The 14,628-nt window shown below is 42.8% G+C and overlaps 1 protein-coding gene across 10 annotated transcripts in view; it reads right to left on the reverse strand.

Moving 5' to 3' along the window:
• AMBRA1 (autophagy and beclin 1 regulator 1) overlaps window positions 1-14,628 on the reverse strand; it is a 197,612-nt gene that overhangs the window by 105,963 nt on the left and 77,021 nt on the right. For 6 of the 10 annotated variants that reach the window (NM_017749.3, NM_001367470.1, NM_001367471.1 and 3 more), the window contains 2 exons: window positions 10,353-10,439; window positions 5,817-5,996 (listed from right to left, as the gene is read on the reverse strand). The exons of 2 other annotated variants lie outside the window; for them this stretch is intronic. In NM_017749.3, coding sequence (NP_060219.2) covers window positions 5,817-5,996; window positions 10,353-10,439 — 267 coding nt within the window. The remainder of the gene's footprint in view (window positions 1-5,816; window positions 5,997-10,352; window positions 10,440-14,628) is intronic. 2 more of the 10 variants (NM_001267783.2, NM_001300731.2) reach the window with 2 other exon arrangements.

Genomic DNA, 14,628 nt, shown 5'->3' on the forward strand with positions numbered 1-14,628 from the left:
TCTTGCACTCCTAATATTAGAGTCTGTGGCTCATAAGACAAAGGAAAAGACAAAGGGAACTCTATTTCAAAATGAAGTAGATAATACCTTATCCCTCTCTGACGATTTTACTTGCCAAAAGTTACCCCCTCTTCCTTGGGTACAAGTTATATATTTGTTATTAGAGAGTAGTCACTGATTCCTACAGAAGTCCTAGAAATTCCCGGCTCAGAAGAGAGCAGGAACAAGTACTGTCAAGGACAGGTGGCTAGAATTCTAGTCAGGAGAACTTGAAATACATGAGTCATCAGGTCTATCACCTGATAAGAATGGTATTCTCTAGTTTCTAACATATCTTCTTTGCCATGACTCAACTAGGCTTTTTAAGTTATATCAAAGGGGCAGATGAAGAATATTAAATTGTGGGCCAGATGTGGTGGCTCACGCCTGTAATCCCAGCACTTTGGGAGGCCGAAGTGGGCAGATCACGAGGTCAGGAGTTCAAGACCATCCTGGCTAACACGGTGAAACCCCATCTCTACCTAAAATACAAAAAAATTAGCTGGGCGTGGTGGCAGGCACCTGTAGTCTCAGCTACTCAGGAGGCTGAGGCAGGAGAATGGCATGAACCTGGGAGGCGGAGCATGCAGTGAGCCGAGATTGTGCCGCTGCACTCCAGCCTGGGTGACAGAGCGAGACTCTGTCTCAAAAAAAAAAAAAAAAAAAAAAAAAAAATGAATTTTTGCTTTGTGTTCACAACTTGGCTGTTTATAGCAGAAGAGGACTAGCTTCTGGCCTATCTCAAGTTTCAACATGTCTTGCTCACTAATCATTTGTAGCTTTTGACATAAAGTGAGAGATGTGCAACTCTTCCTTTTTCTTGAACATACAGAGGTCACTATAGGGATATTAAATGGCCTAATTTCAATATTGCTGTGTATCAGGGAATAGGAAGGCCCAAGAAGAGGAAGAGAGATGGGGGAATCGCCAGTGAGTGGAGCAGTCAAAATATATACAACATTTACAATTAAGCTTATTGTCTTATATGATTGTGGTTCACAGTGCCCCAAAACAATTACAATTGATCACAGGTCACCATAACAGATCTAATAATAATGAAAACATCTGAAATACTGCAAGAATTACCAGTGTGACAGACAGACACAAAATGAGCACATGCTGTTGGAAAAATGGTGCCAACTGCTCAATGTCGGGTTGCCACAAACCTTCAATTTGTGAAAAACACAATACCTGCAAAGCGCAAAAAAAGCCAAGCACAATAAAACAAAGTGTGCCTGTATTTGGTCACAATGTGGACTTCTGGGAAAAGAGGACCCAAATATAAGCAAATTAATTAGAATAGTTAAGAAAATAAATTAACAGACCTAAAGAGAATTCATCTTAAGGCTAAAAGACTAGAATTCTCATTGAGATGTTTTTTCCAGGCAGAAATCCAAAGTACAGCCCGTGTGTCAAAATTGTGAATAAGAGACTTCTGTGCCAGCAACAGTCTTTTATTTGTTTAATACATATGGGGATCTCACTATGTTGCCCAGGCTGGTCTCGAACTCCTGGGCTCAAGCAATCCTCTTGCTTCAACCTCCCAAAGTGCTGAGATTACAGGTGTGAGCTGCCACACCCGGCTCTAGCAACAGTTTTCAAGAAGCTGAATGTAATTATCCAGTGGCTAGTATATACGATGCAGATATTTGCGACTGATCTAATCTGAAGCTTCTCTAGTCTGACTGTCATTAGCAAAGCCTTTGCTACAGTATCCCTTTGCCTCAGAAAGCAAAGCAGCTATAAAAAGAGGCAGGAAGGGCAGGAATATGGGCTAGGGAGGATTCTGGAATTATAATTACATTTAGATTAACAGATAAAATGAGTAAGGGGGCAAGCATAGCTGGAATAATTGTCATAAAGCATACACACCACCTCTTTTGTAGGCCTTAGCAACTACGGGCCATAGCACTTAACCTGGGCTTTATAAAAGCCCCCTCCCTCTTTCCAAAGGGATGGCAAACATGAAAATGGAAGTCTGCCTTACGCTTATTTGCCATCTCCATTCTAGTAGGTGGTCTGGGCTTGAAAGCAGACAGACAGCAATGTCATGGGCAGCCACACCTTTACCCTGCTTATGAACATCTTTATGCAAAGGCAGCTGCTGAGAGCTTCAGGAGAGACCTGCTGACAGCAGGTTTCTGGATGTCCTGTTTGTGCAGTTTGATAAACACAAGGACCCTGCAGTCTCAATCCTTGCTGTAGACAGAGATGAATGGCAGGAGAGGAAGCCTGCCCAGGAAGATGGTCATTCATCTAGATCACAAAAGAACAGAAAATTTAACCTGATGCTGACCAACCTCCAAAGCCACCCTCCCAAGAGATAAATCTCAATGGTCTTGCTCCACAGCAAGCTCTTGGAAAGGCTCAAAAATGGTGGTACATCATTTTCAAAGGTTTTTAAATCAGCAGGACAATAAAACTCAGACACTAAATATGCTTGCTCCTGTCCTCTAACCTTAGACATATCTGATTTGGTCAAATGGAAGAGAACCACAAAAGATGGGCTCTGAGTAATGGCTCCCTTGGTTTTCTGAGAACACTATACAACTGGATGTGACAAGCCCAAAAATGGCAAAATGATCTATGACTTAGCAAACAGAGGGAGAGGTCATCAAAGTGAGGTAGCAAAGGCAAGAGCATGAAGTGCTGAGAAGGTGAGGATACCAAACAAAGGAACAACTGTCTTAATGGTAACCTAATTGTTAGGAGGATTACTCGCCATATCTACCTTACATGTCTCTCTGTACCTGAAAAAAATATAAATCGTGACTGCACATGCCTCTGACTTTCCTTCTAGTTACCAAAGCTAAGGCAAAAGATTGGGGCAGAAAAATTAAAATGTGCTGGTACATTCCTTCTTTGTTATTCTCCCTCCTCACAGAGCACGTGGACACTCAGAGGACAGGAGCAACCACAAGCAGCATTCAGTTTACTGTAGAGGGAGGTGGGCAGGGAAGGAGACAGAGAAAGAATAAACAGTCAGTTTCAACCAGCCAGTAACATCCTTTACTAGAAGACCTGGACTACTAATGTTGAGGTGACTAATCCACAGCTGCTATTAAAAACAAGATTCTAGTCTACATCAGCCCAAAAAGAAAGGCAAACACCCCAGAAGGGACTTTCCAAGGAGTATGAGAGAAATCAGTCCATTGTTACTAACCAGGGAGCAATATAAGACCCCCTGAGAAAAAACAGTAAGTCAGTGCATGAAAGGTGAAGAAGGAAATGTAAATTCAGGTCATGCTAAAGCCAGGGGAGGGGGTGGGGGAGAGCGCACAGGTGGGCTGGGGGGAGCATAAGGAGGAGGCAGTCTGACACAGGAAAATCGAGGGGGAAGGAAGGGGAGAGAGAGAGGAGGTGGTAGCAGGAGAAAGGGAAGGTAAGACAAGAACAGAACATTTTAAACTAACCCAGAACTCCCTTGTGAAGGACAAGTCACGAGGCAAGATACAGCTTGAAGGCATGAGCCCCACATTTCACCACTGCAAAAAGATAACGCAGTCTCCCAGGCGTGCATGGAAAGAGGGCTAGGCAATCCACAACACTGACTCCCAGGGCTCCACAGCATTAGTGAGAGAAAGTCACCCAGGCTTTTCAGCAGCACTAAGTGCCAGCAGCCTTGGCATGTATGTTTCAACTGCTTCCCTGAATAGACCCTGGTGCTGGAAAAACCGTATCTACAGGAGAACATATTTCACTGTAAGTATCTGCCTGGCTAAGGGAACAAACACTCCATTTCCTTCACTGCTGATATACGCATCCACCTCACCCTAGAGTGGACAGAAGGGAGAAGGAACAAGCTGACAGTCAGAAGGTAGCTCTGCTCTTCTCCTGCAGTTGACAAGAGAGAACCATGACCTCTGCTCCATTTGCCACACCACTGCTACTTCAGGCCATCCCTGCATTTCTTTCACATTTACATCTTTCTCAGACAAATAAACCTCCCACTTAGTTTTCCTTTTGCTTCTAAGAGCACAAATGCTAGTAGTGTGTTTAATGACAGCATCAGGAAGGCAAATTGGTACAAAGGTTGTTCTCACTTTCCTAGTCCTTTCTGGCAAAGAGATTTCTTAAACACACTAAAAAGCTTTGTTGCAAGATGACTTGTGAGGAACTAGCCATTCAGTTAAGGAAGAAAGCTGAGGGGGAGATGAGAACTCTTAAGGCCCCAGACCTGACCCGGCTATGTCAAGATGGAAGGTGGGGAGGAAATGACTGACAGGCTGTCCTCTTTCACAAATGCCAGTGAAGAAGGAGGAAGAAATAATGCTTAACCGCCCTTCTCTCTCTCTTGCTTTTATGTTTGACAATACCAAAATATAAGGAATCAAAATGAGCCAAATGTTCAATTTGATACAGGCCATAAAAGCTCAGTTTCAGGATGGAAAGAAACACAATGAATGGCTAGAAAGGTCAGAAGCAGCAGATGAGAGAATGCAAAACCCAGCAATAAGATTGGCTAGCTTAGGCTGGGCGTGGTTGCTCACACCTATTATCCCAGCACTTTGGGAGGCCAAGGCAGGCGGATCACAAGGTCAAGAGATGGAGACCATCCTGGCTAACAAAGTGAAACCCCATCTCTACTAAAAATACAAAAAAAAAAAAAAAAAATTAGCCGGGCGTGGTGGCAGGCGCCTGTAGTCCCAGCTACTCCGGAGGCTGAGGCAAGAGAATGGCATGAACCTGGGAGGCGGAGCTTGCAGTGAGCCGAGATTGTGCCACTGCACTGCAGCCTAGGCAACACAGCAAGACTCCGTCTCAAAAAAAAAAAAAAAAAAAAAGGCTTGGCACGGTGGGTCACGCCTGTAATCCCAGCACTTTGGGAGGCCAAGGCGGGCAGATCACGAGGTCAGGAGATCAAGACCACCCTGGCTAACATGGTGAAACCCCATCTCTACTAAAAATACAAAAAATTAGCCAGGCGCGGTGGCGGGCGCCTGTAGTCCCAGCTACTCAGGAGGCTGAGGCAGGAGAATGGCGTGAACTCGGGAGGCGGAGCTTGCAGTGAGCCGAGATAGCGCCACTGCACTCCAGCCTGAGCGAAAGAGCGAGACTCCGTCTCAAAAAAAAAAAAAAAAAAGATTGGCTAGCTTAAATTCTAGAGCCTGGGGCTGACCCTGCTCCTTTAGCGCATCCTCCCATGGCTCTCCCCGCTGACCACTCAAAAAAGCCCAAAGAAGCAAGAAATCATTTCTCAACCCACCACATTAATTTGACAGACAACTTTTTAAGGTTCCTGAATGGGGGGTAAGAGTAGGGAGACCAAAAAAGTTTAGGCAATGGAGTAGGATCTTAAAGAGTCAGTCTGATCAGGGCACTAAGATAGAAAATCCGCCTCTTAGGGAAATCCAAGTATTTCAGAACGAAGACAACATCTCCACAGCTACTCTGCTTAGGAGAAAAAACACCAACCCTCCAGCCTCCCTGATGTGGTAAAGACAGTCCATGAGAAGCTTTCCACGGTCACTGGACATGCAAAAGGGAAATAAAAATGTTGCCCGAGGAGCAACAGCCACCATCCTCTCGCAATCTGGCCTGGGGCCCAATGGGAGGTCTCTGTCCTCGCGCGCCAGTGAATCAGCAAAGCAACTGCCAGAGGTGGGAGTGCTCTGGGCATCTTAACCCTCTGTCCCTCACCCCATCCTGCTACTCATAAATAATAATTGAGGAGTTGGGAGCAAGAACATCCACCATTGTAGCTCCAACAGTGGCCAACTTGGAAGCACTCCAAGCTTGAGAGGAGAGGGAAGAAAGCAAGCTGAGTATGTACTTACTCAAAGTCCTCAAATTCCAAGTCGGTTCCCTCTACTGATGGACCCTGGTTGTCTGAGGAAGAGGAGGAGGTGGAAGAACGGAGACGGTTCTGTTGGTAGCGCATGGAGCGCTGGCGAATACTGTCTCTCCGTGAGAGATACTGGATCATCCTCTGGGCGTAGTATGCAGCAGGAGATAATCTGAGAGAGACAGAGATGGACAAACACAAACTAGCACTAATGTGGGGAATACTATGAAAGGCAGTTAATCCAGCTCTCCCATGGCATCTCCCTGCTGAGGTGAACTCTGGAGACATGAAAATTAAAGGGCATTTAACTCAACTCACCAGGAGGTTTGCACTGCAGAATATACTTATCAGACTATCACCAGTGTTTCTGTTCTGAGATAAGGCAAACAGGCAGCTTAACCAGACATCTTCTGAGGAAAAGCTGCCCCTCCCCAAGAGAAACACTGGGCCTTTCCTTCTAGCTTCTGAAGGTACACTTTTAGCTCCTCAGGGTGCTCTTTACACAGAGCTGTGCTCATTCATAGCTTTTCCTTGATCACCATCCATACGCAAAATGGAAGACATGAAAGGGACCTGAGCAATTATCTACCATCATGTTTTACAGATGAGAAAAGATGCCAGGAGATGGTAAGCCTCAGATGATTAAAGAAGGTATCCACAGGTATCTTCACCAGGACTTCTGTCTTCTCCAACAAGTATACACAGCTCCAGATTTGTCCTACCTCCTTAGCATGATCTCTTGGAACCTCTTTTTCTCTCCCTTAAGAATTAGTCATAGATATTTGTAACATGGGGAAAAAATTCAGAACTGAGACTGACAGTAAAATATACTTGGGAGAACAGAAAATCTAACAGAAAAAAATAAAAGAGATTTTTTTCTATTTCTTACAATCAGAGCATCAGAGGCTGCGTGGGCACTGGGCAATATGGAAGGTGAGAGTTGTTCCTCTTTCTTCTCCTTTATGATGGCTATTCCTGTAAATAATTAGTCCAGATCTACATTCTTCAAACTACGGCTTTAATATCTTGCTACTCCATGAAAACTCCTAGTGTTATATACAATTCTCCACATTGCCTTCTCAAGTTTTCCTCCATCTCTCACAACAGTATTATATAATTTGACGCTATGGACTGAAAACATGAGAGGAACAATAACAGAAAAATGTTTTCTATGATAATATTAAATGGATTACTAAAAAATTTCAAGACTAAAAACCTGCCCCAGGCACACTTGACTCAATAATTCTACTAGAAACTTTATCCTACAGAAATACATAAGGTTACAAAGATATATATAAGAAAGTTCATTTGCAACATTGTCAGCATTAGTGAAAAACTGGGAAGCAACCCAAATGCCCAGCAACAAATTAAATAAATTATTAATATATCCATACAAAGAAACACCATGTAGCAATTAAAGAGAATAAACTATTCCTATATACTCACAAGGAAAGTCCTCTAAAATAAAATCTTAAGTGGGAGAAAAATTGAAGAATGGTCTGTATACACTAATACATATACTAAAATATGTTGCTGTTACTAGGCAAAAAAAACTATAAGGGAACAACACAGCAATCCTAATGAGGATTCCTGGGACTTTTGTATTTTATATACTTCCATAATGTTTGAATATAAAAGGAAAAGGGCATAGATTTTCGGTTTTTTAATGGAAATCAGAAAAAAATTGATTAAGAACAGAAACAGGAATAGTTATATCCAAATGGTACAAAAAGTATTGGCAACTATCTTGCAAAGAGGTCCTCAGTAAGTCTACCAACCCAGGTCACAGTCAACTGCAGTCAACTGCTAGAGGAACATAGGCTGCCTCTGAAATGCCTGTCATCAAAGGTGGTATCCTTCTGGCCAACCAGCAAATGGAATTCCCAAGCAGAACAGCTAACAATCTTTTAAACTCAAAAGTCTGTTTTACAGAATAATACACTGCAGTGAACACCAACGAGTCAATATTATAATATCTGTGTATAGCAAGTAGGCATAGGAGGCACAGATGCCTTGGCCAAGAGAATCAGAGTACAAGAGCTAGTTCCTAAAAGCCTCAACTGGAGGAACTTTCATTATCTGTTTGGGCCCCTGTTCCCATGCATTTTGCAAGGATGAACCACAGAATCCTAAATTTTCAACCAACAGAAGTCGATGTTCGTGCACTGTTCTTATATCTGCCCAATATATAGAACTCTTCTAGCAGAAATCAAGCATCATTGGTTAAATTCTCAAGTCAATCAGACTAGAAAAGAATATACAAGGAGAAAAATCTCAAGAGGAGAAAGAAGACCCTTTTATTTGGAACCGATTCTGAAAAGTGATAAGTACACTTACTTTATAGGCTACCCTAAGTAATGGAAAAAACATAATATTATTGGTGATAGAGGTAGACATAATGTTGATGCTAATGATAATAAGAAGACTGCCTTTTTATGTAGGGACATAGGAATTCCCCAAGCTATGAAACTGTAGATTAATGGTTTAAAAAGCATTCCTGCCACAATTATTAAATACAAGTATATCCTAGCCTTGTCCTTTTAGATATGCAGAGGGAAGCTAAGGATCTGAATGCTGAGGTGTCTCACTAAGGCTCTGACCTATACATAGTGTATAGGGTGAAGCCTAAGAGGAAAAAGAAACTAAACAACCAGCAATGAGGTAGTAACAATCATCCTCCTAACAAAGAGCTGGAAAATCATCAAACAACCCTAGTCTTCCAAGTGAACATTTTAAATGTTTAAATAAATCCTTAAGTTTTCTTCAAGGAAAAATACTTCCTTTTCCAAAAAAACCTATTTTGTATTCAAAGTGTAAAAATACCAACACCACGAAGTATGACACTTTCCGTGATAAAGATCACAGTAGGATAAATAACAGATTTATTATATAAAAGGAGGATAAATCATGGTCGTTAAGTATCCTTGTAGAACACTGCCAGGTTAAAAGTTCTGGGGATGAGATGCCTATTGCTGTCTTTATTGCAAGAACTTCTCTATCTCAGTGCTTCAAAGTAATTGATTCATATGAAAAATTCCTTTCCCTTATATTTAGGGTGTATAATCCTCAAACATCATTAGAGACTCACATAAACTTCCTTGTTTCACTCATCATCTATGGTGCCTGCCTGTTTTAAAGTCATCAATCCTTATGTTCCCTGATCCTTAAGTTTGTCATTTCTAGGGTGTGGAAAAGGAACTAAGAGGATAATGAAGAATCTTTGCACCAGTATCTCAGAAAGAATGCTCAGTGTCATGACATAACTGTGGCAACAATAAAAGCACTTAATATTCCTGGAATCAACTTGGTCTAAAGGTTTTTCCAGGCAGACCTGAAAGTCCTAATCTAGAGCAAAGTTCATTTTGCTTTACCTAACCTACACTGCTAACCTGCCAACCCCACAACTGTAAATTACCCTTTTCTTTTGGCAAAGCCTCCTAATGTGCTCTAGTATTGCTTAAATAATGTGCCTTTTTAGATCACGAACAGAATCCGTAAATCTGGCTGTGACAACCCCAAGGGGCTGCTCTCTGCAGATGAATGTTATCCATTAATATCCCACCCTTGGTCCTTAGTTATCACCATCAGTGAAGGGCAGGCCTTGAACTCATTGAAATAACTTCTGTTTTGTTTTTTATCTCTTTAGAACTTTTCAAATGTCTTCTTTTTTTTTTGAGACAGAGTCTTGCTCTGTCACCCAGGCTGGAGTGCAGTGGTGCGATCTCTGCTCACTGCAACCTCTGCCTTCCTAGTTCAAGTGATTCTCCTGCCTCAGCCTCCCAAGTAGCTGGGATTACAGGCATCTGCCAACATGCCCAGCTAATTTTTTGTATTTTTAGTAGAGACGGGGTTTTGCCATGTTGGCCAGGCTGGTCTTGAACTCCTGACCTCAAGTGATTTGCCCGCCTCAGCCTCCCAAAGTGATGGGATTACAGGCGTGAGCCACCATGCCCAGCCTCAAATGTCTTCTAATAAGTGTAAGGCAAGCACTTTAATAAAATGCCAACTTGTTTTATCCATTTACTCCTTCTTCGGTCGTCTCTTCCTTTGGGCAGTCTCCAAAAATGTCAATACCTGAAGGAGCTTGACTTCTGCCTTTTGATATTCTAAATTCCCTCTCAAATGACAGCAAATTGGGTTTTTTGTTTAATCTATACATAATTTCCCTATAAATTAAAAACATTTTGTTCCCCTGTTGGCTGTCCATCTGAATGACAACAGCCTCTCTGGCCAACAGAAAAAGAGTATCCTATGACTACCTGTGGCCTCTCCAGGTTCCTCCTCTAGCACCACACTTGCGGAAATGAGTCCCAAAGGACAAGAGCTTGGTCATAACCCTCTGTCACCAGAGGTACTGTTCACTTACCTGCAATACTTCCCCATCACCTGAACCACCTGTCTCAAAACTGTAACTGAAGAATAAAAGAGCACCAGGACCAGAGAGGCACAGAACGGAGCTTCCAACAGTGTGGCAACCCCAAGGGCCGCCCCTCCCCCCACCTAGTGCCATTTCTCACTTTGGCCTTACCTCGCTGGGTCTGGGTAAATTGGGTGCTCTCTGGATCCTGCTCCATCATAACGGGATAATGAAATGAGGGAAGATTCCAGCAGCCTCCTAGCAGAGATTAAAAAAATGGCAATAATCCCTGTCAATTACCAACTCAGAGGTCATTCATAAGGAAAAATGAGGGAGAGATATATAACTTTCCCCTTTTGCAGCCAGCTAACGCCTGTTATCTGGGATCACACCCTTCTACAAGCTAAGTAGGTAGAGACACAAATAAATGAAGAGCTGCAAAACTCCCACACTGGACATGACCACTGCATTCTGCTGAATACTGCTCTTCAATGAGAAATGAACAAGTGCTTCAGAGACATGATCTTCTTTCTATTTGCAGTACCTCCAGTAGACAAATAGAAGGTTCGGATCAACACAGGAGTGAAAAATTAGGCACACACAGAGATTATCACATAGTGCTAACATTTATCTTGTTGTTTGGTTCCTCCATGCCATCATCATCCACATCTACTTCCTGTCTATCCATTCTGCTCTGCCTACGCTCTTTTTTCTTTTTTTTTTTTTTGTGAGAATTGAGTACTCCTCAGATATATAACTATAATATATCTATTAAAAATATAAATATATATAAGAGTACTCCATAGGCTTTCAACTGACAACGTTTACTTATATAATCTAGCCCAATAACAAACTCAACTGATCATATGTGATACGTACATTTTATTGAACACTTTTTTTGATGCCAGGTAATAGGTAATACTGAGCACTTCATATGTATTTGTTTAAACCTCACCACAACCTAGAAAGGTAGGTATGACTACATACATGAGAACACTGGGCCCAGAAGTTAAAGTGTATCACTCTGTGGCACATAACTATTAAGAGATAGTAACAGGACTCCAGGGAAGGCCTGTCTTAACTCCAAAATGCCTCAAATCTCTATTTTGTACTGCAAGACCTTCCACGGTCCAGGCAGGAAGCAAGAGCATATGTATTCAATGGAGACTGACAAACAGGAAGGTCTGTGGCCCATCATTTAGCTCCAGCCAATTGTTACTAAGCTAGAATATAGGCTCAGTATTGCTGGCTTTTCCTATTTTTTAAGGAAAGCTAGAAATCTGGAATTTTGTATAAAATCTCCTGATTGTTAAATTTTAGCTACAACTTTTTTTTTTTTTTTTTAAACAACAAGGGCCAGTCAGAACACGTATAATAAACACGGCCCAGGGGCTCCCTGGTTTGCATGTCTGACATGGTGCTTCCCAACTCACATGTGCCTTGGCAGCCAATCAAGCTCCTGCCCCAGAACATGTTTCAAAGGAAATGGTCTCAGAGAGGAACGCATATTGTTCCTCTCCAGCAGCATCTTGCCTGCCTTTCCTAGGAACAGGTCCCTGGCTCCCTGCCAGACTCTTCTTTAAAGCAGACCTGCAGGATAAGGACAGCAGCTACCAATCTTTTCCAATTGATTTAATTCAATTCACTGTTACTAAAACCATCTGGCTTTAGGTATAGTCCTGTGCGGTCACTTTATTCCAGCAACTGGCCCACTGCAGTACTTCCCCTAACAGCCTGGGGAAGAGACATAGCAAAGGCCCTAACAACCTGGCTTGCAACCTTTCCTGCCCAGGACAACCAACTATCAAGTAATGTTTTCTCTCTAGACAAGGCCTATATCCCCATACTTAGACACTTGTAACAATCCTACCACTGAACAGAGAGAACACAATGTAAACAAGGAGGAAGAGAGGAAAGCAATAAAATACATCTCTCTGGTTGAAAGACTAAATCTTCAGTAACATCACTGTGGTTCAAATGTGGCAGAAATGCTGTTTCATCAATTCTAAGACACACTTTTCACCTTTGAATGTGTCTGAGGTTGGGGTGTATTTTACAGTTGTGTGACACAGTTTAATTGGCAGGATTTTTTTTTTTTTGATAGAGACAGAGTCTGGCTATGTTGCCCAGGCTGGTCTCAAACTCCTAGCCTCAAGTGATCCTCCTGCCTCGGCCTCCCAAAGTCCCAGGATTACAGCCATAAGTCACTGTGCCTGCCCACTGGCAGGATTTTTTCATGATTTCATAGGAACACATAAAATAACGGCATGTCTTTGAGTCTTTTAAAATACAGAATGTGTGGGACAGGTAAGGGTAGTGAGAGATACAGAGTCTGGGAAAAAAGGAAAATCAAAATTTTGAGAAGAGTATTCAGGTCATTTATGCCATCTTATATAGTACTTATTTATCATTTAACAAACCAGTTCTTCAGGAACTGGGTGTGAGTTGAAGAATGGAAGCAAGGTCTGGGAGCAGCTGACTATCCTAGAATACCTAGAAGCTTGTTCCACCCTAAAGTGCTCTGGAGTTAGTCCTGAATGTCACCACCTGTTGTGTTATCCTCCAAGTGGTCGTTTAGTAAGCTGAGGCCCTTTGGCAAGCAGCATCCTCCACAGTGACCAAAAAACATCCTTCTTGGCTGGGCGTGGTGCCTCACGCCTGTAATCCCAACACTTTGGGAGGCCAGATGGGTGAACTGCCTGAGCTCAGGAGTTCAAGACCAGCCTGGGCAACATGGTGAGACTCCATCTCTACTAAAATACAAAAAAGTAGCCAGGCGTGGTGGTGCGTGCCTATAATCCCAGCTATTTGGAAGGCTGAGGCACGAGAATCACTTGAACCTGGGAGGCAGAGGTTGCAGTGAGCTGAGATCGCACTACTGCACTCCAGACTGGGTGACAGAGTGAGACTGCATCTCAAAACAAACAAACAAACAAACAAACAAACAAAAATACATCCTTCTTAAAGAAACTAATTATGGTAACAAAAGCAAATATTACCCCCAATCTGCTAAGGCAATGACAGTACTGAGTGAGATGAGATGATTTATTAGGAATGCTGTAAAGGAGATTCCTGATCTGAAGGGTTTGCATTAGGTAACTTCAGTTTTAATGACTCCATTTTTATTTTTTATTTTTTGAGACGCAGTCTCACTCTGTCACCCAGGCTGAAGTGCAGTGGCGCAATCTTGGCTCACTGCAACCTCCGCCTCCTGGGTTCAAGCGATTCTCCTGCCTCAGCCTCCTGAGTAGCTGGGATTAAAGGCATGCGCCACCACACCCGGCTAATTTTTGTACTTTTAGTAGAGATGGGGTTTCACCATGTTGGTCAGGCTGGTCTCAAACTCCTGACCTTCTGATCCGCCCGCTTTGGCCTCCCAAAGTGCTGGGATTACAGGTGTGAGCCACTGTGCTGGCCTTAATGACTCCATTTTACAATCCTAAAAGTCTATTTCCCACCTTAACTTCCTACCTTAATTAGGAAGACTTCTTTAAGTTGGAATAGACCCAAAATATGAAGCTTTGTTGCTGGAGAGTCTCTGATGAGGTTCTTTTGGAACACGCATCCCCTGTGCCTACTTACTACGGAATGTGTTGGCAACATTTGCTGCCCAGACAATATAGTGGAACTGGCAAGCCACATATATATGTCACTTTACTGCTAATGCACAAAAGCAGGAAAGCCAATCACCATGAATACACATATACACTGATGAAACATCAGTTCTTCATAGTTACAATACGAGTACTATCTGGAGTAAAAATAGGCTTCTCCAATTGGTGTGGAATAAAGAACTAGAGTTACTAGATGAGTAAACATCCTAGGAATGTTTACCACCATTGCTAGGAACCTCAAAGAAAGATCTTTCTTTTTTTTTTTTTTTTTTTTTTTTTGAGACGGTGTCTCGCTCTGTTGCCCAGGCTGGAGTGCAGTGGCACGATCTCGGCTCACTGCAAGCTCCGCCTCCTGGGTTCGAGCCATTCTCCTGCCTCAGCCTCCCAAGTAGCTGGGACTACAGGCACCTGCCACCATGCCTGGCTAATTTCTTTTTGTATTTTTAGTAGAGACAGGGTTTCACCGTGTTAGCCAGGATGGTCTTGATCTCCTGACCTCATGATCCGCCCACCTCGGCCTCCCAAAGTGCTGGGATTACAGGCGTGACCCACTGCGCCCGGCCAAAAGATCTTTCTTTCCCAGTGTTAGCCTGTTACAGACAGCTGTCAACGGGAAATGGTAGGAGAAAATTGAATGCGATGGCAGTTCTGCACATTCTGCTGTGACCACCACAAACTTGACTTGACTTAATCTATCACAAGAAATCAGGGAGGGCCTAGGAAGGGCTCAGACAAGCTTGTTCAGGTTCGAAGCTGCTATCACTGAAGCTGAAGAAAAAAAAAATACAAAAACACAATACAACCAAACAAAATACTTCCTTGTTTTCTCTACT

The sequence above is a fragment of the Homo sapiens genome, chromosome 11, assembly GCF_000001405.40.
Source record: "Homo sapiens chromosome 11, GRCh38.p14 Primary Assembly".
NCBI classification, from domain to species: domain Eukaryota; kingdom Metazoa; phylum Chordata; class Mammalia; order Primates; family Hominidae; genus Homo; species Homo sapiens.